A 24,190-nucleotide genomic window follows, 5' to 3' on the forward strand; every position below is an offset into this window, starting at 1 on the left:
CAAAACCTAAAATATTTATTATCTGGCCCTTTACAGAAAACAGTTGCTGATCCCTGTTTTGGTGGATAAAATGGGCTGGTAATATTGGACATTATTTACAAGGTCTTCAGGGACAACCTCAAGTTCTTCCTTGATAAAGCATTCTTTAACCATAATAACTGCCATCAAGCTCCTTCTCAAACCACATCAGTTAAAATCTTAATCATTTAATTAACTCGTCATTATATAAGGCTGTGTATTGCTGTTGGGAGACAATTGTCCATGAATCTCATGTTTCTACATGTCTAGGCATGAATAATCAATTGCTCCAGAGCTATCTTTTCAGGAATGTTTATATAAGCATGGAAACAGTGATTCACTGTGGAGCAAATTTATTTATCTGAGAATAGTAAAGATAGAAGTATTCCCTCCTCAGAGAGATTTGCTTATATTCCAGGGTAATAAAAATAGTTTCTTTCTGCACAGCAGAAGATGGCAGGCTTGCTTGCAGCCCCATATAAGATCAGGGTTTCTTTCGTAGTCTCAGGGATTTTGTGCTGTAATGCCCATCCACTGCATGTACAGGCAGCACCCAGTCCTTGTTGTGTTGTCTTGTTGGAACTGGGGCTCCAGGAACCTGCACCAAAATGTTTCTGATGCTATATCAATAAGCTGTCTAAATACATTTGGGCTCATTTTCTGCTTATTGGCCTAATCTATGGAATTGTGCAAACCAACCCAACCACTGCTACTGGGCTGCTGCTGCTCAGGAACTAATGGACCACTTGATAGTTGCTTGATGCAGGTATAAATGCATTTGTTTTGTTTCCTAAAGTGCACTGAGAAACTCCCTTAGGGAAGGGACCAATCTTCTGTTTTCTTTGGATCCTCCAGCAAGCCCAACATCCAGTAGGCATTCAGTAATGTTTTGTTGCTCAAGGATACATCCTGTCCTGAAATTCTCTTCTTAATGGTGCACAAAGACTTGGAACTACTTTCTAAATTGCCATGGCTTCCCTCTGTGCACATGCCCGTGTTATCCGAGACTCTGGGATCTAAAGCTATCCTGGCCTTGTTAAGATTCAGAGTCAAGTTCCACCTCAACAGTGTCCGCACAGAAAACAGGCTTATAGCATTTCAGCCTTGTGGCTAGAGGTAATTGGCCACACACTTAGCTCCCCAGGTTAGGGGCAGAGTTGGCAAGGCAGGGGGAGCTTTCCCTTCTGCTTGCTTGCTTCAGATAGCCACCAGTGCCCACAATGAAACCAATGCATTTTGTGGACATTTTTTCTCCTAGGTTGGCCAGATTCCACAAATAAAAATAGAGGACGTCCAGTTAAATTTGAATTCCAGATAAATATTGAATGCTTTTTTAGTATAAATATGTCCCAAATATTTAATGGGCTATATTTACACTAAGTTTTGTTGTTGTCGTTGTTTATCTAAAATTTAAATTTAACTAGGTGTCCTTTATTTTACCAAGGAAGCTTATTCTCTGCCCTCTTTCCTCTAAAGCCCATTTCTCAACGGTGCCTCATCCTCAGATCTGGCCACTTCTCTAAACTCTCTCCTGTGATCATGGGTTTTTTGTTTGTTTGTTTGTTTGTTTGCTTGTTTTGAGACGGAGCCTTGCCCTATCATCCAGGCTGGAGTACAGTGGCACGATCTCGGCTCGCAGCAACCTCTGCCTCCAAGGTTCAAGTGATTCTCCTGCCTTAGCCTCCATGCCCAGCTAATTTTTGTATTTTTAGTAGAGACGGGATTTCACCATGTTGGCCAGGCTGGTCTTGAACTCCTGACCTCAGGTTATCTGCCTGCTTCGGCTTCCCAAAGGGCTGAGATGACAGGTGTGAGCCATCGCGCCTGTCTATGATCATGGGTTTTTTATTCTTTTTTTCAATAGAGCACCTTTCCTGGTTGGTGAAGGTGCAGAGCTGGATGTTTAGGAAATACAGCCTTTCAGGAGAACTTCCTTGAGTTTTGCTGATTGGCCTAGATTTTGTCACTGTTTGCAGGACCATGAGGTGGGTGGTGAGCTCAACTTGGAATGGCCTGGAAGCATTTCAATGTTTTGGGGTGGTTGCTTCTCTGTTTGTGTTTTATTTTTTAAATCTGTAATTCCCAGAGTTGTTTGCAAAGTCAGATCTAAAAATCAAGAAATGTCCACCTCCTGTGTACTCATGGAAGTTGATTTGGAATCAAGGAAGAGGCAGAGGGAATGGAAGATTCAGTTACTTCCCAAATGGGTGGTAATCAAAGCCCCCAACTTTGATACTTAATATATACTTTTCCCACTGGCCTCCTTGCAGAGAGTGCACTGAGTCTATCTTGTCTACCTCTAGGCTAATAAGGAACTAGTTCAGGGATTTCCTTCTCCCTCACCCTGTAGGCAAGGCTTACGTGGGGCTTAGCTCTCAGCTGCCAGAGAGAGAGGTCTGATAATTCACACTCCCCTTTGAGGGCCCTGAAATGGTGGCCCCCTGCTCAGGCAGCCAGGGGAGATTTGCAGGATGAATAAATGCCTCCCCAGGGATTTGCTAGGTAACTCCCTGTCAAGGCTGGGGGCAGAGATTTAAATATGAATTACCATCCCAACCAGGCAGGGATTTATAGAATGAGCCCCTTTTGTACTCACAGGAAGATTTACACAGCCACCTCATCAGCACCAAGCTGTGGGGACCGTGACTGTGTGACACTCAGCAGTGAGACTGCACCACATTGGCCTCACAGCCAGCTCCAGTCCGTCTGTCATGCTGATGAGGTCCTGTGTCTGGATCTGCTAGGACAACCTCCTCTTGCTCCTCTGTCCCCTCTGCTTTTCCCTCCTATGTCCAAATGACAGAAGTCTAGTGTTCCCTCTAGCACTGGTTGACAGGGACCTCCTACCTAATACTACTCTGCTATCTTCTCTGGACTCTATTTAAGATTTTCTTGCTTCTCCATCAGAATGTAACTGTGGCCGTTTCCAGTCACTTTGCTGCCTTCCTCTCTCTTGCAGAAGCACCAGCTCTCTTCTTCAGGTGACTTTACCTGCTTCTTTGTTCCTGGCGGCCACTTGTCTCACCAGACGCCTGGCTCTAAATTGAAGAACCTAAAGTTCAGCCAAACACCCCTAGCAGAATCTCTCAAGGGAGACTATTACAAATCAGAATGCTGGCCTCCACTTGGACCTCCTGAGTCAGAATCTCCAGTTCTGGGGCTTAGAAATCAAGTTTTCCAAGTAATTCTCAAGCACACTGACATTTGGGAACCAAAACCCTGGATCCCAGGGTTGGAGTTGGGCTGGATTTCTCTTCCCCTGGTTAGTTTCGGGAGGGCCACTTTCTCCCTTCTTTCAGGCAAATCTCTCTCTCCAGCACTCAGTAACCACGGTGCAGGTCTTTGAGTGTATTTTGCGGAAAGAGGTGCATATCTAAGACACTACTGGGGCGCAGAATGGTCCCAAGAAAGGACTTGGCCTGAATAGTGTGTTGCCTCATGAATATTCATGCTGGCCATGCGGTCAGTTTTGATCACTCAGATCAATTCAGGGCATTTGCTATAAGCCTTTGTGAGAGCAGGAAACAGGTCTTGGGAGTAAGGAGGCAGGGAAGAAGATTGAGGTTAAAGTGAATTGACAGGCAATAAGATTAGAACTCTGCTCAATCCTGATCTTGCCAGTAACTAACAGTGGCCTGAAATTAAAGAATTAAACCATGAAGGCTGCCTTGACAACTGATCTGATAGGCCCAGAAGTAAATTTCAGGGGCAGCGCTGTCAGGCAGAGGCAGGGGAGAGCAATGATAAGGGACACTGGGGTGCTTGGAGCGGGAGGGAAGCCCTGTCTCTTTCTTTACAATCCAGTGAGAGGCTTTGGTGTCTCATCTCAGGGCAGCACCGTACGCTGGAATAGTTCCGGGGGCAAGTTAGTTGCCAGGGCTTCAATTCACCTCTGGTAGCACTTTCTTCTTTACATTCAATTATGACTTTAAAATGGAGGCAGAAAAGAAGAGGGGAGGAAGATAATGAAGCATAAGTCAAATGTGGCAGCTGGCAACTTCCTGATAATTGCACTTTCCCTCTTAGCATTTCATTTCTATTCCTTCATGCCGCACAGTAGCCTGTGGAAGGAAAAGGAACCTGCCACAGAAACAACTCCAAAGGGTCGAAGGAAACAATATCAAATGCAATTTAATGACATTTTCTATGAGAGGGCAGAGATGAAGTAGCAGTTTGAGTTTGTCCAAGTTATTGTCTTTAACATTATAAGAAAGCATAGAAAATTATATATACATTAATTCAGGGCAAGTAAAATGCTTCTCAATTTCCTTTCTCTTTCTTATCTCAATACCCTAAAAAAAAGACTGAAAAAGGTTGAGGAGTATTTATAGTATAGTAGCCAAGGTGAAATACTTTCAGAAAATATTGGAAAAGACAAATTCTAACCCAGGTAGTTCATGTGATGACCTGATTTGGGGGGAAATTAATGTTTATCTACACTAGATCTCTCAGATTTCTTTTCAGTGAAGTTTTTCTTCAGCTGGCTATTTTCCAGGTGAACACAATGGGGAACTCACCAATTCCTGAAGAAAATCTTATGAACAAAAAAATCTGAAATTTAACAATCTGACTAGGAGACGCCACTCATGATGCTATTTGCAGCTGAACCTCAATCAAAGCCTAACTCTTTGGGGTCCCACCCATGATCCCTTCCCCTTTCCCTTAGAAATGCATCCAAGTAGAAACTTCAGCAACCCTCACTTCTTCCATCCCTTCCACTGAAACCACTGGGATCAGAGTAACTGATGCACTATTGACCTTGAAGATTCTGCCTGCTTCAATGGACTTAGCTGGAAGTTTCCAGTGACTCTTGTCCTAGTGGAAACTGTGCCCCAGATTTAGAAAGAGTATTGGTCTGGGTAGGCTATGGATTGTGAACAGGGTCCTTACTGGGTTGCAAAAAAGTGAGGTAGCCAAGTAGGAAAGTAAGGCCCGGGGCCCTGTTCTTCATGTGACATTCCTTGGCTCATTATGTTTTCTGTCCCTCAGCTTCATGCTTTACGGGGGTCCCACTTTTGTGATAATGCATCTTATGTGGTGTTTGACACCACTGCTTGCTGTGTCTCTTGAATGGTAGATATTTCCAATTTCTAATTTCAAAGTAAAACATTTCTTTAGGTTTTGGCCAGCATGTAAGAAAGAGGTAGGGAGGGTGACCTGTAAGAACAAGTAACAGGAAATTTGAGCTTTATAGAGCTGGTTTTGCTTTTTGGATTGGGATAGCCAATAGGCTGAGTTTGCGGAGCCCAATTTTTCCATGAAAGCCACCAAATAGAACTTTCCACACTAACAGCAATAGGGAAGTGTCCGGGGAGAAAGCAGAGGGTGCTCTGTGGCAGAAAATGCTCTTGAAGCTGCTTAAGCCTCAGAGTCTCTTCTCCAGAAGAGTTCGTGTTTCCCCAACAATTTGCTGTTCCGCTGGCTTGGCTGTCATTTATGCCCTTGTCAGTACGGCCTTCCAGGGCCTTGCTTCTCCTTCCAAAGTCCCCTCTCCCACCCTGCTGTGCTCATCAGCAATGTCTAGGCAGTGGTATTAAGTCAACCCTCTGTATCCACATGTTCCACACCTGTGGATTCCACCAACTGTGAATCAAGAATATTCAGGAAAAAAAAAAGAAATAATACAACAATAAGAAATAATGCAGTATAAAAACTATTGACATAGCATTTACATTGTATTAGGTATTATAAGTACTCTAGAGATTATTTAAAGTATATGGGAGGATTGCGTAGGTTATATACAAATACTATGCCGTTTTATATAAGGGACTTGAGCATCTTCAGATTTTAGTGTCCACGAGATTCCTGGAACCAATCCCCCAAGGATACTGAGGGATGATTATACTGTTAAGTGCTTAACAACTGGCTTTCTAGGGAGAAAAATCCCTGTCTAGTAGCATTTGCTAATTTCCATGGTATGAATACTTCCACCATGGCTAATTTCAAGCAATCACCATGACGTCACTAAATGTGGAGCTGGAAGATGCGGTGCAGCACATTATTATATAGTATGTTCATCATACAGATGTGATAGATGTAAATAACCCCAGGAGCATAGAGAATAAAAAGAGTAGTGAAATAATTAGGAAGTGATGAGTTTTAAGTACTTTTGACCTTTGCTTTAAATATAATTTATTTAATTGTAAATGTATATCATTTTTAATACTGACTGTACTTAATTAACAATCAGCTTGCAAAATTCCTGAAAGATTAACAACCAGAATACAAGCAGCTCTAGTACTCCACTAGGTCTTGGGTTGAAAAAAGAGGGAGAAAAAGGGGAGCTAAAAGGCCATATTGAGTATGAAAGCACTAAAAGGCCTCTATGCCATTCACACTTTATGACTCGGTCCTTCTGAGCCTTGGGTCCATATGTTCATAGAAATGACATGGTTGCTGTTGGTCAGAAGCCATACGTACCCGGTCCCAGGCCCAGCTCTGCCATTTGCTAGCTGGGTGATCTTAAGCAAGTTGGCTAAATTCTCTTAGCTTACGTTTCCCACCCGTAACATGAATACAATAAAGAGCACCTGCTTGCTAAGGTTGTTATGGGGATTACATGATCTACTATATTCAAAGTACGCAGCCTACTGGATCATATAGAAAAGCCTCAATAAGTGGTAGCCATGAGTACTATTATGGTTACTATGCTGATCTATTCCTAAAATGTCCAGAGTAGCCACAGCTAGTGATGGGGTTTACCAGGTACAGATTCATGCAGATACCAATTGTTAAAGACAATCTTCGTGTGGCCTGACCTCCATTTCGGCGTCAACCATGTATGTAGGCTCAGCCTCAAGGGGAGGAATGCTCCTCTCTCCACACCTCCTGAAAAAAACCTCTGGCAGATGCCTGAAGTTCAGATACTGGTAACTCATTTTTCACTGTTAAGTGCGCTGTCTCTCTAGGCCTTCTTTTAAAAGGCAATTACTCCTTAGAGAGTGAGTCATTAACTCTTGCACCTTGGTGTGAATGAGGCAACCAGATCCCAGCGTTCTGTGCAGGGACTCCTGGGACTCTAAGGTGAGAAACCTGGGTGTGGGCAAAGGGATTCAGAAAGGGCCTGGCGCACTGAAGCCTCCATCTGCAGCCCACCCACTTCCTGGGCCCCCTGCTTCCAGGTGGACTAGTGCTTTTTTTTTTTTTCTAAAGAGATAGGGTCTCACTCTGTTGCCCAGGCTGGAGTTACAAGTGGTGCAATCACAGCTCACTGTGACCTCAACCTCCTGGGCTCAAGCCATCCCCCTGTCTTGGCCTCCGAGTAGTTAAGACTATAGGCTTGTGTCACCATGCCCAGCTGATTTTTTTTTTTGTAGAAATGAAGTCTCGCTATATTGCCCAGGCTGGTCTCAAACTCCTGAGCTCAAGCAATCCTCCTTCCTTGGCCTCCCAAAGTCCTGGGATTATGGACGTGAGCCACCATCCCTGGCCTAGTTCTTAAAGCAGAGATGCTTCTAAAAGCAAATCTACTCCAGTCTTTCTCTCCCTGCTCCCTCAACTATCCCAGGACAAAGACTCAGTTGATTCTCAGGTCCTCAGTCCACTGGTAAGCTGGCAAGACTGCTGAATATTTCGGATCAGTCTTACTTCAAGAACACCAAGTTTGCAGTCAGTTGATCTGGGTTTTGGTTGTGGTCTAACCACCTGATGTGTGACCTTGAAAAGATCACTTCATGTCTTAGAACCTCTATTCTGTTAGTATATTGAGGATACTAATGAGGATTAACCTGAGACTCAAATCAAAGAGCCCTTCAGGAACTGTGAAGCTCAAATACAAACTGCTGGTACCATTTCCTATTCCCAATTCTTGGTTGTTAGTTTGCTCCTTCTTCTCCAGTTCTTCACATATGGATATGGAGAGGCCTTTTGGGGAGCACCATAGATGGAAGATAATAATACATTTCCCATGCTTTGTCCTAAAGCTTTCTAGGAACAAAAATATAAGCTCCCATCTGGGATCACTTATTCATAATACAGTCTTGTGTGCAGTGAAAATAACCTGAAGTCATTCCCAGTGTGGCTCAGGTAACTTGGCACAACCAGAAGGCAAAGGTGATGTCTGCAGGAGCCCTAAGGCCCTGTGAATGTTAGTTATATTCTTAGTGAGGTTTTTGTTTGTTGATCTGGAGCACCTGTGATGCTACACAAATGCTTTCAAAGTGGTTGAGTCTCAAAAACCAGGAGAGGACCTGTGGCTTCTAAAGGCATAAGACTTACAGCCAAGGGGGTCTTAGGTTCTGGGAAGGGGATTGGGGATGCAGTGAGGAGGAAGACAGCCAGTCTTTCCACGCACAGACGGACCAGCCTCAGGTGTTCTTGGGCATCTGTGTGATTGGAGGAGGGTGGCTGGTGCCCTGGCAGGGCATCTGAGAGCTCAAAGAATGCGCAGGCCCCAATCCTTTTTTGCGACTGCAGCATCTGACATGTGCCTCCATCTGTGGCAATGTTTTTTGCCCCTCTCAGGGCTCTGACGGAATGCAGTCTCAGCCCCAGGGGCCCAGCGATTACTGTGTGACCAGAGCAGCCTCTGTTATTAAATCTTGTATCGACTGGCACCTCCCTTCTGGTGCGTGGGGGTGTAAGTTGGCACCAAAAGTGGCTGGAGAATTAACCCAGTTGTTGGGGGAAGGGTGTTGTGTTTCAGGATCAGTTATTTTTGGTGGAGAAAAAATTGCAGATGGCCAGCCAGGGCAACCTGCCTGAGACTAAGTAGTCACTTGGATGCCTGCCAGGACCAAGCCGAGGGGGTGAGGTGCAGGAACAGGGCACGGAGAGTAATGTCTGGTTGGCCAAAGGCCCATTTGGCTGTCATGGGAATGTGCTGGGGATGGGGTGCCTGACTTCTGCAGTGTCTGGAGAGCAGCCAGAGGGGGGGGACAAATGCGATAAAAAGGAGCTAGAAGAGGTCCTACTGGGAAGGCTTATAGGTGTCCAACTTAGAACAGAAAAGACAAAGTTGACTAAACATGCTGACTTTCTTCAAATACACGAGAGACTTCTACAAGAAGATGTTGATGAATTGTTCTGACAACCAAATAAGAGAAAGCAGCCTGCGCAGAGGAAATATGGATTTCCGTCACTGTGTCATTCATACTGCAACAGGTGCTGAATACATACTTGAGCCGTGGTCACGTCTGCGTGCTGAATGGGACGGTAGGAGCATTTTAGAAAGTGAGGAAAGGGAAGAGAGCCTCCCAGGTTTGTAAGTGATGACCAGCCCGCCAGGTCAGAGATCCTGGGTGCCACCCTCTGAGTTCTTTGCATTTGATGATGAGTCCTGGTTCTGCTTTTTGCATGATATGAAAGAACTGCACCCTAGGGAGGAACTGATGGATTTTATAACTTGATAATAAAACTCTCTGAGGAGGGAGTGCCCTCTCAGAGATGGGAGATTAATTTTATGTTCTCTTTTTCCTGTTGCTTTTCATCCCCACCCCCCATCTTGCCTATTCTTTTCTACTACTTGCTCAACAGAAGGCAAAGGGGTTTTTAAGAAAGCATCAAAAATCTGAGGACTTTGATTCCAGAGCAGGAGAAGACGGCACAGCCTGGGAACAAGGTGACAAGAGCCCGTCACAGGAAGGTGGGCCTCTGACTACTCTCCTGAGCCCCAGCATCAACCTGAGCACTCAGCACACAATGACACCTCTAGCCCAGTCCCCAGCCCTGCGGTGGAGACACGATCTCCTCATGCCCGGCTAGCTCAGCTTTGACCTTGAGGTTCCTGGGAAGCTGTCAGAGTCATGTCTGGATGGTCTGAAATGTGATCCATCTCTGAGCTGGGCCCCTTCCCCAACCTGCCGACTGCACACGTTCAGATTTAGCTTGCTCTGAAATAGACTGAAAAGAGAAACAAGAAATGATTCTCACACGAAGCCTCCTTTCAACCCCAACAGTCTGCTTGATGGTGTTTTGATCCTTTCAAAACTAGCGGAGAAAGGACTTGGAGGTGACAGGAAAAAACTATTCTGAATAAATCTTACAAACATTCTATAAAACAACACCAACAAGGCAGGACAAACATCACACCAAGATCTTAAATTACAGGATGTTTACATAATATAATGCCCATGGCAGACAAAAACTAAATCTCACAAAGTACCTGAGACAAAAAAATAATAATAATTAAAAATTAAAAAAAAAAAAAAGAAAGGAGAAGAATAAAAAGGAGTCTGGAGTCCTGGTATTGGGAGGTCCCAGGCGTTTCCTAGGGAGGCTGTGTGGGGAGCATCCGTGGCTCCTGGCCTCACATTTCAGCTTCTGAGGGGAGGACCTCTGTCGCGGTGATGGCAATCCCAATGGCAAGGCTGCCGTTGTCAGAGAAGAGCTGTGCCAGCGAGGTGTTGAGGACGAGGCAGTCCCCGTCCGTAATCACCGAGTCCACGCACTCAAGAACAGACCGGGGCGTGGCCTCCCACTTGAGGCGCCGATGGTTTCTGTTGAGCTCCAGGCGATAGGTGAAGCAGTCGGCCTGGGTGGGGGTCCCAATCAGCATCATGGTGGCAAAGAACTGGGGGTGCCCTTCATGCCTCTCCTGTTTCCTCAGCACCAACAGAAAGTGGTGGCCAAGGCAGGAGTGCATGATGATCCAATCAGCCGGCGCGGGGAGGTGCATGTCCGTGGCCAGGAAGACGATCTCGGCTCCCTGGAGGATGTCAACCCTATGGATCTGCCGCAGGTGGGGCACCACCACCTCCAGGCGGCCTTCCCACTGGCAGGAGAACAAGGGACACATGCACAGGCAGGGCGTCACCGGGTTGGCGTGCAGCCCCGCCTCCTGGTGGTGAAGGTGGTGGGGGTGGGCGTGGTGGCGGAGGTGGTGGTGGTGGCGGTGGTGGCAGTGGTGGTGGGAGAGATGGTGAGGGTGGAAGCTGCCTTGCTCTGGAGCGCTCTGAGTGACGGCGCGCCGACTGGACACATACTGTAAGGAAAGAGAAGAACGTCAGTGCGGGGATGAGGCCCACTCTCCCAGGCCGCCACTCCCCTGATGTTCAAAGTGTTAAAAAGCAGATCCTCCAGTGCAGGCTGAGAAAGGTTCATTTCTTAAACAACAAACAAACAAACAAACAAACAAACAAAACCACAAAGGACAGAGTGGGCGCCTTGGGGTGGGGGGTGTTGAGATTCTGAAAAGTCAGTCCAAGAAAATGCAGTATTTGTGCCTTTGTGGTTCTTTAATAAGATACACAAGCAAATAGGCAATTTCCTCGTCAAGTAACATGCAGTAGGATGGTCATCAATCACAAAGAACAAAGACAGCTGTTTTTTTTTTTTTTTTTTTTTTTGCTTTTTTGATATTGTTGATAATTTTGTGCAGGCAATGGAGGTCAATAGATTTTTTTTTTCTATTTTGTCATAGTTATTAATTTTAGAACAAAATTTACATAATGCCCATTTGTCCTTCCAGTGTAGTCAGGGATTGTCCTGTCTTGGGCGCCCTTCTCCTGCGTCCTAAGGCATCTGGTGGGATGCAGAGCTGATCGTGTGCACTGGGACTACAGTCCCTAAGGAGAGAGTCCCCGCTGTGACTCCTGAGACTTTGCCGCACCAGGCACACATCTACCCTATTTCTAGCTCTCTGCCCCAGGGCAGCTTCCCAGAGCCTCATCACCAGGCAGCCTCCACCTGGAGAATCTCCCCATCATCTGTTCCTCATGGTGGCGTGCCCACAAGTGCCCCCCAAAACACCAAGAGCTGTGAGGATGCCTTCTGATCAGGTGTCTGTGAACATTTATTGAGCATCTGCTGTGGCCAGGGCCTTGCAGGGATACAGCTGTGAGCACAATAGATACTGTGTCTTTTGGTGTGGGTGGCACAGACATTACTACACTTATAATTAATTACAGTTTTGACAAAGGTCCTCCATGTGTCATGAAGACTGTGATTCATATTTTTCAGTTGAAGAAACAGGCTTCAGTAATAACGTGATGGAGCCTGCAAAACTGGTAAGTGAAAGACTGGGATTCATCTTCACGCCCCCTGACTCTGAACACAAGAGCACACCCCCATCCAGTGATTCCTGCCTTCAGCTCCCTCCTCCGTTTCCTGACTCCTTCTTTTCCGTAATTAGCCTGCATGGTCTAGGTCACACAGGGGAGGTGGCAGCTCTGCAGTGCGCTCCAGGCATGAGTCGCTCACCTTGCAGCCATTTCCTAGGCTGTCCTCAGGTAGGGAGTGTCCCTTCTGCCCTAGCTCTCCAAATGCTTTCTGGACTTCAGATGCCTTTGGGCACTTGCCTCCTCACCCTGCTTCAGTTCATTCCCAAAGTACAGAGGGCAGGGGTGAAGGTCACCAGCCACTGTTGCTGCCAGAGTTTCTATCTATCTCCCCTGACTTCCTGTGGCTAATAGTGAGCCAGCTAGCTTCCTTTCTTTAGGGCATTCAGGACACACATACATGTACATACATGCACAGTCATGCACGCAATACACATGCATGCATACACACACGCTCATGACACATACATGTGCACACATGGTGCACTGGGATTGTCACCCGAGTGATGGAGGTGACCTGGAGGAGGTAGGGGCCAGATCAGCTCTCCTCTCCAGTTGTTAGTTCCATCTGCTGGTTTCCTCATTCTTCCCCCAGAAGTGTGATCTACAGGGGCTCTTCCAGTAGCGCCTGTCCTGCCCCTGGATGGTAGCTGCTGGGCAGTCTGCTGTCCTCCATCCTGCAACCCCACCTGGTTCCCCTTCCCCAAGGTGAACAGTGTGTCTTCAGCTATGAAGGAACAAGCTGTGTTCCAAAATCCTGCTAGTGATGAGTCTGACTTATCCCTCAGTGTTAAGTATGGGGAAGGAAACTAACTAGTATGTAGCATCTACTAAGTGTCAGCTGCTATGGAAAGGAGGTATTTTTAAAATAATTATTTCATTTAATTTTTCACAGAAAAGATCAATTTCCTTATTAAAAAATAAAAATCTGGCTTTGTCCCCACCTGCCTGCTGGTGGCATGGACCATTTAGTGATTTGGTCGGGGGGGTTTCTCCCCTCTCCTGGGATCATGCAGGAAGCCCAGGGCCCACACCTTCCATCAGCCAGGGTCAGGACCCTCCCATGGACCTTCCCACTGTCTGCAGGGCCGGTAGGCAGGCAACTTCTTCTCCTATACTCAAGAGGACCCAGTCTTGGGCTCTCATGAAAAACCCAAATGGTGTCCCTCTTCCAGTCTCTGAGAAGGCCCCTCTCTACCAGTCTTTACAACAATCAGGAGAGAAACATTTTATGTTTGTCTTATAAATGAAGAAACAGAGACACAGAGAGATTGAGTCACTTGCCAAAGTCACACAGCTCCTAAGGGCTGCAGCTGGGAATGGGGCCCAGATCAGTTAATGGTGACAGATCATAGACTAGGAAGTTCACAGGCTGGAGGTCGAAAGACTCTAATCTGTTTCACTGTTTACGTGTTCAGTCAGTTCTCTCATTGGCAAAATATTTATCTCAAGGGCATGTTAGGAGATCAAATGAGAGAATGTCTGTAAAACGGCGTTACAAACTTTATCAAGTGTTACCTCGAGAGGGCATTTCCATTTAGATGTGGTTTTGGGTGAAGACTTGGCAGCCTTCCACTGCAGTCTGTGCCTGCCTGTCTCCATTCTGATCAAGTCACTTTCACACACGAGCAGCAATCTGGGCTGAGTGCAGGCCACCATAAAACCTGGAGAACCCAGCCTCACACTTGGCCTGGGGCCACCAGTCCCAGTGCTGACCTGTGAGGACAGATAGAATGTCCTGAAATCCCCATTCAGAAGTGACCTCTGGGCTTTCCCCTATTCTTTCCAATTTCTCCATATTCTTCCCCAGATCCATTTTCCATCTTCTCTGTCCTGACCTGTACAGCTAATGTCAGAGATGGGAGGTCAAAGTAGCAGGGAGGGAGTGAGAAGAAATACCTGGCTCTTCCTCTCTCCAATCTCTGCCAGTGCCTTCCATTGGTGAAACCCAAGCAGAAACCTACCAGCAAAGGGAGTCCAGCAGGTGCACTCAGCAAAGATGGCTCCCTTTGAAAGTGGTGCTAGGTCAGGTGGATGGGTGAAGACGGGTGAATGGAGATATTTGCACCTGCATGCAAATGTCTCCATTCCTTCTATGTGATGATGCTGATTTGAACAGGCTGGGGCTCCTGGGCTAAGTTTTGATGGGGCTTATGGCAGGGGGAGAGAGAAAGATGCCCGTAGTTCATTAAGCCATTCAGCATACACGTACACACCACCCATCTTGTGCAAGGGGCTGAGAATACTGAACAGAATAAGCTCCTTGTTCCTATCCTGCCTCACTAGCTCACTATGATTGTGTGAAAGCAATGCAAAAATGCAGGGTACACCAGGGGCTCTGAGAGCACCAAGTGGGGGAGGTAGCTATTCTAGCCAGTGTGAGGTGACATTTAAACTAATTGAAGCGTGAAGGGTGAATTCTCTAGCAGAAAAGGCAAAGGACCTGCTGACAGGGAAAAGAGCAGGTTTGAAGGAGCTGGGTATGAAAGAACATGGATGTTCAAGAAGTGACAAGAAGTTCCAAGTGGCTGAGAGGGAATCTGGTGGAGATGGAGAGGAGATGTCGGGTCATATTGCCCAGGCCTTGTAAGCCAAGCTGAGGCTCTGAGATGGCACCCAGTGCACGGTGGATATTAGCAGGAATATCCAAGAGACCCAGCTATGTGCTTTAGGGAGCTACTGTGGGTAGCACAATGCCCCCTACGCCCAGCAGCACAGCCTGCTCTAAGCTGGTGCTCAGAATGGGGCCAGCAGCAAGACCCAACCCTTGTCCAACCAGCAGACCCCAGCAACGGTCATTTCCCCCTAGACTCTCCCAATGCTTCCTTGTGGCTTCATCTTCCACTAGCCTTTTTGTTTTTTAATTGCTGCTGTGTTACAAAGCAGCCAAGGGTATAATCCAAAGAGCCTGAAGTGAATAACTATGCAAATAGAGTGGGACGTGATACACTCATTGAGACCTGTGTACTTGCTGTGCCCTGGGATGGTGCTCAGAATAAACACAACCTTAATTTTTTATTTCTTCCTGCTCCATCTTCTGATGCAAAATATATTTCATTTAAATGATCCTTGGGTGAGTGAGGTCACAGGGCTGCTGGCAGGGAGAAGGGATTCTTTTAATTGGCAAAATGCTAATCGTTTCAGAAAATGAATTCCAATCTTCCCATCTAATACAGTGGATGTGTGAGTAATTACTTTCCTTCACTAAACTGTTAATGCAACATTAGTGATTACACTAATTAAACCTAATGAACTCTTACAGACTGATAAACCCCTCAGTCAGTCAGTGGATGCCTTCCTTCCATTGGCTGTGTTTAACTTCCCATTTGGAAGAGAGATCTTGAATTAACCTTTAGAATAATGCGCAAAATTGGGTTTAGCAATGTTAGGCTTTATAGGCTGGGGATAATACTTTCTCTAAGCATTAGTGAGGCCATTTCCGCTGAGGGTGTAATTGAATTTAAAAAACATTCCTTAATTTGATCAGCCACACTCCCATGGTTGGTAATGGCCCTCCAAATCCTGGCTTCTGAAGGGGAAACCTGCCTCTGGAAATACTACATGACCCTTTCTCTGGCCTCTGCTCCCTGTGGTCACCAAGCTCACTTAGAGGATTGCTTTTCCTTTCCACTTACTTCCAGGAACAGTGCCATGCATTTTAGCTGAAAGAGGATTTTGTACCCAATTTTATATGGCAGGCCCTTGCTTCGAGTTTGCTCATGCCCTCATTTGTGAATATTAATTAACTGAAGTTTTTAGTCCTAGGTGAAGTGGGGAAGGCAGCAATGCTATCGATGCATTTCACACAAAGGGAGAATGAGCAGGTTGAGGTGGAGGGTAGGGTAACATTTCTGGGCAGGCATCAGAGTACTGAGGTAAAGTCTAGGTCTGAGCCAAGTTGGGAGTCAGGTCTGCTAGGAGGGGAGAAGAACTGACCGCTCCAGGACTGTGCCCTGCACACAAAACTCAGAAGGACTCTAGATGCTTCCAAACAGGTAAGAAATAAGTTAAGCCAAGAGAGAAAACAACAGTAAGGCTTTTACCACCTGGGATAGGAACATCTTAATTAGAAAATGTATCTTATGCTCCTTCTCCTCCATATCAGATTCAGCTCTTGCTACGTAGATGGATGAGATCTTCATGTGGACAGTATGAGCATGTCTGCAATTTCCTTTAAAATACTTTAGTATACGGAATGTGATATAAATCTATCTGTGTATCTATCATCTATCTATCTATCTATCTATCTATCTATCTATCTATCTATCTATCTATCTATCTATCTATATGTTGAGACAGAGTCTCACTCTGTCACCCAGGCTGGAATGCAGCGACGTGATCTCGGCTCACTGCAACCTCCACCTCCTAGGTTCAAGTGATTCTCCTGTCTCAGTTTCCTGAGTAGCTGGGACTACAGGCGCCTGCTACCATACCTGGCTAATTTTTGTATTTTTAGTAGGGACGGGGTTTCACCATGTTGGCCGGGCTGCTCTTGAAGTCCTGACTTCAAGTGATCTGCCTGCCTCAACTTCACAAAGTGTTGGGATTACAGGCATAAGCCACCACACCTGGCCTAAACATATGTATTTTTAAACTATACTCTAGGGCCTGTCAATTCCTGAATCAGGAATTCAAACATCAAGGTAATCACCTAACACTGTATTGGAAAAGTCCATACCTGAGCTAATGACTACAATGGCCTCAATTAGTACCCATATTTCAGATTCACGTCAGATGCTGCTAGTTAACACTTCCACAAATGTTTTGGTTGGTGAAATTAGTAGTTTGTTAATCAGCATAATAGATGCTAGAAATGGGCTCTAGTTGAGGAAATGAGTGGTTTTCGAGCTGTAAAGATTAGTTAAAATAGTGCAGAGAGATTTCTCACTTTATGAATGGGTCTTGAAAGCTGGTTCCCTAAATATCCTTGTGTCCAGCTGCTAAGTCAGGACTTCTGGTGCTCTGATGCCACTTCTTAACTGTATTGGAATCTTGCCTCTGAAATACCACTGCATACAAATTTTCTTTACTGGTGATCAAAATTATGCAACTTGAGTGTGGAGAGATTGGTTAGTACACACAGAAGCCTTGAGTCTTGACCTATCTATGCCATTGTTTAGCTAGAAAAGAGGCTAATAGGCTGTGACTTTGAAAAGATGACAACTTTGTGAACAAAACTGTTTCAAACCAAGATCTATGGGTGCAAAATAATGAAAAGGGTCCATATAGATGTCTTCATAGACACCAGTCCTATGATCTCAAAAGCCTCCTGACCAAGCCGGTCTTCTTATAAACATATTTGCCAGCCACAAGGGAAGGAATAAGTGGATGACACTGAAAAAAAAAATACATCTCAGAGATCCCAGGACCCTTTAGTTTCCAGATCCTTATCCTTGGCTGACAAGCGTTAGCTGATTTATCCATGAATATTTTCCTGCTTGCTGAGTGCCTTCAGGACAGGGACTAATTGTTCGTGTGTCCTTACTGCTAGTACAGTGCCCGACATGCAATGTATGCTTGCCATATATTCATAGCACAGATCGATGCATTAGTAACAGCTTCCAATATGAAGATCACACTGGTTCTGTCCTTTATACCATTCAGGTGTGCCAGCCACTGTCCCACCTGGCATTGTCTGAGACAATCAGCTGCCGTAAGACAGGAATGCTGCCTCCCTACCTGACTTGTGAAGTAGTTAAGCAGCAGTTAAGATCTGTCTGCACAACTCACTACTTATTTCAACTTGCATTGAAAAATCACTAGTTATGGCCAGGTGCAGAGGCTCATGTCTGTACTCCTAGCACTTTGGGAGGCTGAGATGGGCGGATCACTTGAGCCCAGGAATTTGAGATCAGCCTGAGCAACATGACCTCGTCTCTACAAAAAATACAAAAATTAGCCAGGCAGCTGTGGTCCCAGCTACTCAGAGACTGAGGTGGGCGGATCAGGTTAGCCCAGAAGGTTGAGGCTGCAGTGAGCTGAGATCATGCCACTGCACTCCAGCCTGAGCATGGAGTGAGACCCTGTCTCAAAGAAAAAAAAAAAGAAAAAAAGAAAATCACTAATTGGTAGCCTTTTCTCCTCAACTAGGTTGGAAGTCATTGAGGGCAGAGGTTAAGTTTGCTCAGTGTTTAGTGCAGTGATGGACTTGCTGTGTCTGACATGTAGTAGACTCTCAATAAATGTTGGGTTAGTGCAAAAGTAATTGTGGTCTTTGCCATTACTTTTAATATATGCTGCTTGAATGAATGAATGAATGAATGATTCATAAACAGATCCCTGTTTTGGACCACATCAATGGAAAGGCTGTTTGTCTTCAGTCAGAGGCTCTGTCCTCTACCCTTCCATCTCAGGTGCTATAGAAATATGGTGTGTGTGTGTGTGGCCAAGTGTCCACGGCTGTGAGCTCCTCAGGAAGGTGCCCTGGCAGCTCCTCACCCAGAACCCAACAGTGATGGAACACAGAAGTCACATTTGACCCTGACCAAGAGGAGGGTACTGACACGTGCCCAGCTGCCAGTGTGAGAAGTATGATAAAAGCTTTGAAGAAGAAATTTCTCCTGCCAGAGAGGTACTTGCTTTGCTTTTGCTTTTTACTGAGATTACTTGATGCTTCAGGCATTCTCTTTTTCAGTAATGAATTGCTTCTCCCAATTTGGGAAGGACAGTCTGCTGGGTTAACTCAGCAAATCAGTCTGGCCACCTCCCAGATTGCTCTAGGCCAATGTTCCCCTCCTGCACCTTGGCAGGACCCCTGAGCTAAAAAGGAAGTGCTGTCTCACTTCCTTATCCATTTTCTGTTAACAATCACCAGGAGGTAACTTTAACCCAATCAAAGATTACCATAGCTCCTCCAGCTGTCCCTACCCATGAGATGAGGAGCTAAAGGGTTGTACCCACACAGAACCCCAGAGCCCACCCTCTAGACCACACTCTGCATAAGTGCGATGCTGGAATTCCCTACCCAGTGTCTCTAAGTCAGCTTCCTGCAGCCCGTGCTCTTTCTGGGATCCATCTTCTGGAAGGCAGACCATTAGATGTGAGGTATGGCCAATGGGTGACTATTTCAGGGGTTGGGGTATAAGCAGAGCTTGAATGTGTGGGCTCGGGTGTTAGCTTGCCTTTGTAAGAGACTCATCAAAGCCCAGGATGAAGCTGGGTTAGGAAGAAAGTGAGACAGGTTGCTACCAGGGAGCTGCCACCATGTGACTCATTATGAAGGTATAAATTTTTTTTTTTTTTGAGATGGAGTTTCACTCTTATCCCCCAGGCTGGAGTGCAATGGCGTAATCTTGGCTCATTGCAACCTTCGCCTCCTGGGTTCATGCAATTCTCCTGCCTCAGCCTCCCAAGTAGCTGGGATTACAGACAGGTGCCATCATGCCCTGCTAAGTTTTGTATTTTTAGTAGAGACGGGATTTCACCATGTTGGCCGGGCTGGTCTCGAACTACTGGCCTCAAGTGATCTGCCAGCCTTGGCCTCCTAAAGTGCTATGATTATAGGCACGAGCCACTGTGTCTGGCCATGAAGGTATAATTATTAAGGTAGGAGGACAGAATGTATTTTGAGAGTCTCATACCTTGTTTTTTTCTTTTTGAGCATTTATATAGACAGTATGTGGACCACCACGTGTACTTTTGCCTCCTGTCTTGCAAATCTTAGAGGCAGACTTGTAGTCAAACCACATACAGGAATGCTGCCCTGTCTCTATTCTTTGGCTCTGCTTTTCATCTGCGGGGTTTTGAGTGTGCTAATGAGTCTAATCAATCTTGTAGATGAAAGACTTTTTCTTCAAGGCGACTTTTTGTGTAGTTAGACTTTCATATCCGTAATTGGCAAGTGAAACCTGGGGCCTGAGTGAACAGTTTAAAGATTAACCTTTTTAATTACCCAAAGCCACATTAACTATGAGCCTTTCTTTAGGATGACTTTAGAACCACAGCAGTGACTGGACACCATGTCCAGAGATTGTCCCGCCACCTCGGATAACCTCAGATTGTGAGCAACAGTGTTGTTCACACCGTTGTGGCTGGAGTCAGTGCCATAACCTTTGAGAGGAGGCAGGTTGCTGGAACTGGTTACACATGCAAATGCAAACTGCAGAAGCAGAGGTGTTAGGAGGTTACAAATGGGCAGAGGTGTGTCCTGGGTGGCCTGAGACAATCTGATGCCTCCAGGCCACATGCCATCCTTGTTTCTCTGAGTTCTTCAAAAATGTCATGACCAGGAACTCCACAGTACTCTCTGCCTCCTCTGTTTTCTATCCCCAGATTAAGTTGTGTTCATCCTTCAGGGGTTCCTTATTCTAACTAGGACAGGTCTGTATGTTGCATGCTCCCTTATAACATGCAACAAACTTATTCAACATCTAGTCTTCCTGCTAGACCACAACAAAGGCTCCAGGTGGGTGAGTACTGTATTTCTTCCCCACTGTATCCGAAGTGTCAGCACAGTGATTGGAACATGGTAGGTACCCGGGAAGTATGTGGGGAGAGGATGAATAAATAACTCCTCCCCATTGACCTGTTACCCTAACACAATTCAACCGCTTCTCTTCATCTGACAGCAGTCACCCTCATTGCCTCTCTGGGCTACACAATAGCCTTCTAACTAGTTATGATAGGTTAGAAGACTGCCCCCAAAAGATGTGTTCACATCCTAATCCCCAGAACCTGTGAATGTGATCTTACTTGCGAAAATTGTCTTTGTAGATGTAACTAAGTTAAAGACCTTGAGATGAGATCATTCTGTATTGTCCAGCTGGGCCCTAAATCCAAGGACAGTGTTCTTAGAAAAGACATATGAGGAGAAGACACGGATGCAGAGAAGGCCATGTGAAGATGGAGGTAGAGATTGGAGTGATGTGGCTGCAAGCCAAGGAACACCTGGACCCACTGGAACTGGAAGAAGCAAGGAGGAATTCTTCCCTAGCACCTTCAGAAGCTGTGTGGCCCTCCTGACACTTTTTTTTTTTTTTGAGATGGAGTCTTACTCTGTCACCCAGGCTGGAGTACAGTGGTGTGATCTTGGCTCACTGCAACCTCCACCTCCTGGGTTCAAGTGATTCTCCTGCCTCAGCCTCCTGAGTAGCTGGGACTACAGGCACTGTAGACTGGGAATGGCCTCACTATCAGGAAACACTGAGTCTACACACACATGGATGTAGCCTATAGGTCCTTCCCAGGATGATTATCAACTCCATACCCATGTGCTAATACCAGAGATACAAAGGACGTTGTATAGTGCTTAGTCCAGAGCAAGAAGGCATAAGTGGTAGATGTTATTATCATTATCATCATCATCATTATTGCACAGTGATGTGGTTTGGCTGTGTCCCCACCCACATCTCATCTTGAATTGTAGCTCCCATAATCCCCATGTGTTGTGGGAGGGACCCGGTGGGAGGTAACTGAATCATGGGGACGGGTTTTTCCTGTGCTATTCTTTTGATAGCGAATAAGTCTTATGAGAGCTGATGGTTTTATAAAGGGCAGTTCCCCTCCACACACTCTCTTGCCTGCCACCATGTAAGACGTGCCTTTGCTCCTCCTTCACTTCTGCCTTGATTGTGAGGCCTCCCCAGTCATGTGAAACTGAGTCCATTAAGCCTCTTTTTCTTTATAAATTACCCAGTCTCAGGTGTGTCTTTATTAGCAGCGAGAGAATGAACTAATACACACATCTAGCTGACTGAGGTGTAAGCTAAGGAAATGCACTCTCCATAATTTCTAGGATCATGTATGAATAAGATTAAATCATAAAAACACTAATGTCCTTCCACGTTTCCCTTAAGGCCTTCTAGCAATTCTCACTAGGACCTTTTTTTTTTTTTAAATCTTGCCAAGTAAGTTTCTAAGATTAGTCATTATATTTCATTTTATCTCTCCTTTTTTAAAAAAACTTATTTTGATCTTTCCATAGATAACCAGTAGTTGTTTAGAATGAGAGCTCATCTTTAAAAATCTTCCTTTTAAATATAGCTAATTTATTTATTCCAAACATGACTCAAACCAATAAACCTTTCATGGAGAGATCCAGAGGTAATTTTTCCATTGAAAACACTATGGTATTCCCAGAGTGGGTACAGAAGATGTGAGCCCCATGATCCAAGAAGCTCACTCCCAGAGATACACAAAGAAACCCAGAGACCCTTGTTGCCACAAGCATTTAAGGATGATGTTTATGTGAACAGCATCTCAGTCACCCACATTCCTCATGGCACCATGTGTGATGCCTCCAGTCACAGACCTGCTAATCTGTGACACCAGGTAGGTGATACTTGTATGAGAGTTTCCCAGCACTCAGCAGGCAACAGAGGTTGAGATAACAAATGCCTCCGTATAGACTGGGGCCTGTTTATTAAGACAAACTCCTCTGACAGCTTGGCATGGTCACATAAAGAGTATACTGCTTGTAAATTTGTGTCTTGAGTTACTAGCCTGTCAGGGCTAGCTGCCTGGCACAAGCTGACACTTTGCACCCCTTCATCTCTGACCCAGGAGTCTCGTGTCTTCTACCAGCATCCATGAAACTGTGGCAGGTCACCTTTTGAGCTTGTTAGTAGTGGGGTAAGATCTGAGCCTCTTCACAGTTATAATCAATACCTGACAAATATGAGCATTATGTGATCAGAAAACCTGCACACGAATGTTTACAGCAGCACTAATTCATAATAGCCAAAATCTAAAAATCACCTAAATGTTCTTCTAATGAGTAAATTGTGATATATCTACATAATGGAATATCATGCAACTATAAAAAAAGAATGAGCTACTGCTATACCCAACAACATGGATAGATCTCAAAAACATGTTGAATTTTTAAAAAAGCTAGACACAGAAGAGTACATGTTTAAGAATTTTGTTTGAAGTTCAAAAACATATAAAATTGATCTATAGTGACAGAGGCTTGAACAGTGGTTATCTTTGTGTGTGGACATATTGACTTGGTGGGACCCGAGGGAGCCCCTGAGGGCTGGAAATATAACTCGTGGTCTGGATGGGTGGTGGCTCTATGGATATGTGATTTTATATATATATATGTGTGTAAAAATTCATTGAGGACTAGACTTGAGATCTGTGTACTTCACTGCATGCTATACATCAAAAAACAAAATAGAATGGAAGAAAGAGAGAGAGAGACAGAGAACGGATGTATGTGGCCATTGTCTTCAGGTCACTGTTAAATGGACATATTTCATGGGCGGGGGGGAGGCGCTCAAGAACCCTAGGGGGTCTTTTCTTTCATTATTTCACTTGTTCATTTGGCCTGTCTGTAGGTCTGGTTGCATCAGGTTGCCTGCGATACCAGTAGCTAGGGGGATTGGAGGATGGGGATGAGAGTCAGATCAGGGACGGGCTCAGGGAGCATGAGCTCCCTGGCTTAGAAAGGCAGAGTCATGGCTGACACTCCCAGGGAGACGCAGGGCCTAGAAACACAGTAGATAAGTTGCTGAAGGTGTTCACACCATGCCTGGAGTGGCACAGGCCTTGCCCTTTGCTCCTAGAGGCAGAAAGCTCCTCTCTGAGATTAGACTTGGCGGCTAAGGACCAACACTTGTGCTATGGCCTGGTTGTAGTGTCACAGGAGGTGCACCCTGACTTTGTGTAAATGCCTCACTGAATGAATGGCTCCTCCTCTCTGCAATGTGGCTCTCCTCACACCGAGCTGAGGGACGGAGCAGCCACAGAAAGCTGCTGACAGCTCCAAGTAAATCCCCTTAAGCGAGGTGGGGGCAGGTGTTTTATTGACTCTAAATCTTTGCCAGTAGCTGGGTACATATTTAATAAAAATCTTAGGCTTGGGGGGCAGGGATGGGAAGGCAGAAGGGAGAATTCCTGCCCCCAGGGCTTGGGAGGCTGGCAGGCTGGCCAGTCCCTAATAATTCGTTCATCCAATATTCATCTTTGGGTTATTATAGTCACTGAGTATCTCTAAGGAACAAGTTTATTAGTGTCTGCTAAGATAATTAGCCTAATCTACTTCAACGCAATTCAAATCGTCTCTATGCAGGTTTTTTTTTTTTTTTAACACAATTCACCATGACTACATTTCAACGTTGGTCCTATTTTGTTCATATTTCCCCCATTGGAAGGTGCTCACTTTCTACAAGAGTGCCATGCTCTCCAATTAGCCCAAGGGGAAGGAGATTAAGTCCCCAGGCTCTAGCTCAGCC

The 24,190-nt window shown here is 45.5% G+C and overlaps 1 protein-coding gene across 1 annotated transcript in view, besides 4 other annotated features; it reads right to left on the bottom strand.

The window, feature by feature from the left end:
- Positions 564-1,065: an enhancer, noted in NCBI's record as "H3K4me1 hESC enhancer chr13:46347817-46348318 (GRCh37/hg19 assembly coordinates)". NCBI's record gives its function as "activates a minimal SCP1, AML or CMV promoter by ChIP-STARR-seq in naive H9 embryonic stem cells {active_cell/tissue: H9 hESC(naive)}" and the evidence as "EXISTENCE:reporter gene assay evidence [ECO:0000049][PMID:30033119]".
- Positions 1,066-1,565: an enhancer, noted in NCBI's record as "H3K4me1 hESC enhancer chr13:46348319-46348818 (GRCh37/hg19 assembly coordinates)". NCBI's record gives its function as "activates a minimal SCP1, AML or CMV promoter by ChIP-STARR-seq in naive H9 embryonic stem cells {active_cell/tissue: H9 hESC(naive)}" and the evidence as "EXISTENCE:reporter gene assay evidence [ECO:0000049][PMID:30033119]".
- SIAH3 (siah E3 ubiquitin protein ligase family member 3) overlaps positions 4,124-24,190 on the bottom strand; it is a 74,512-nt gene continuing 54,445 nt past the window's right edge. The window contains exon 2 of the mRNA NM_198849.3: positions 4,124-10,939. Coding sequence (NP_942146.2) covers positions 10,265-10,939 — 675 coding nt within the window. The 3' untranslated portion in view covers positions 4,124-10,264. The remainder of the gene's footprint in view (positions 10,940-24,190) is intronic.
- Positions 10,031-10,531: an enhancer, noted in NCBI's record as "H3K4me1 hESC enhancer chr13:46357284-46357784 (GRCh37/hg19 assembly coordinates)". NCBI's record gives its function as "activates a minimal SCP1, AML or CMV promoter by ChIP-STARR-seq in naive H9 embryonic stem cells {active_cell/tissue: H9 hESC(naive)}" and the evidence as "EXISTENCE:reporter gene assay evidence [ECO:0000049][PMID:30033119]".
- Positions 10,532-11,032: an enhancer, noted in NCBI's record as "H3K4me1 hESC enhancer chr13:46357785-46358285 (GRCh37/hg19 assembly coordinates)". NCBI's record gives its function as "activates a minimal SCP1, AML or CMV promoter by ChIP-STARR-seq in naive H9 embryonic stem cells {active_cell/tissue: H9 hESC(naive)}" and the evidence as "EXISTENCE:reporter gene assay evidence [ECO:0000049][PMID:30033119]".

Source organism: Homo sapiens, chromosome 13, assembly GCF_000001405.40.
Source record: "Homo sapiens chromosome 13, GRCh38.p14 Primary Assembly".
Classification (NCBI taxonomy): domain Eukaryota; kingdom Metazoa; phylum Chordata; class Mammalia; order Primates; family Hominidae; genus Homo; species Homo sapiens.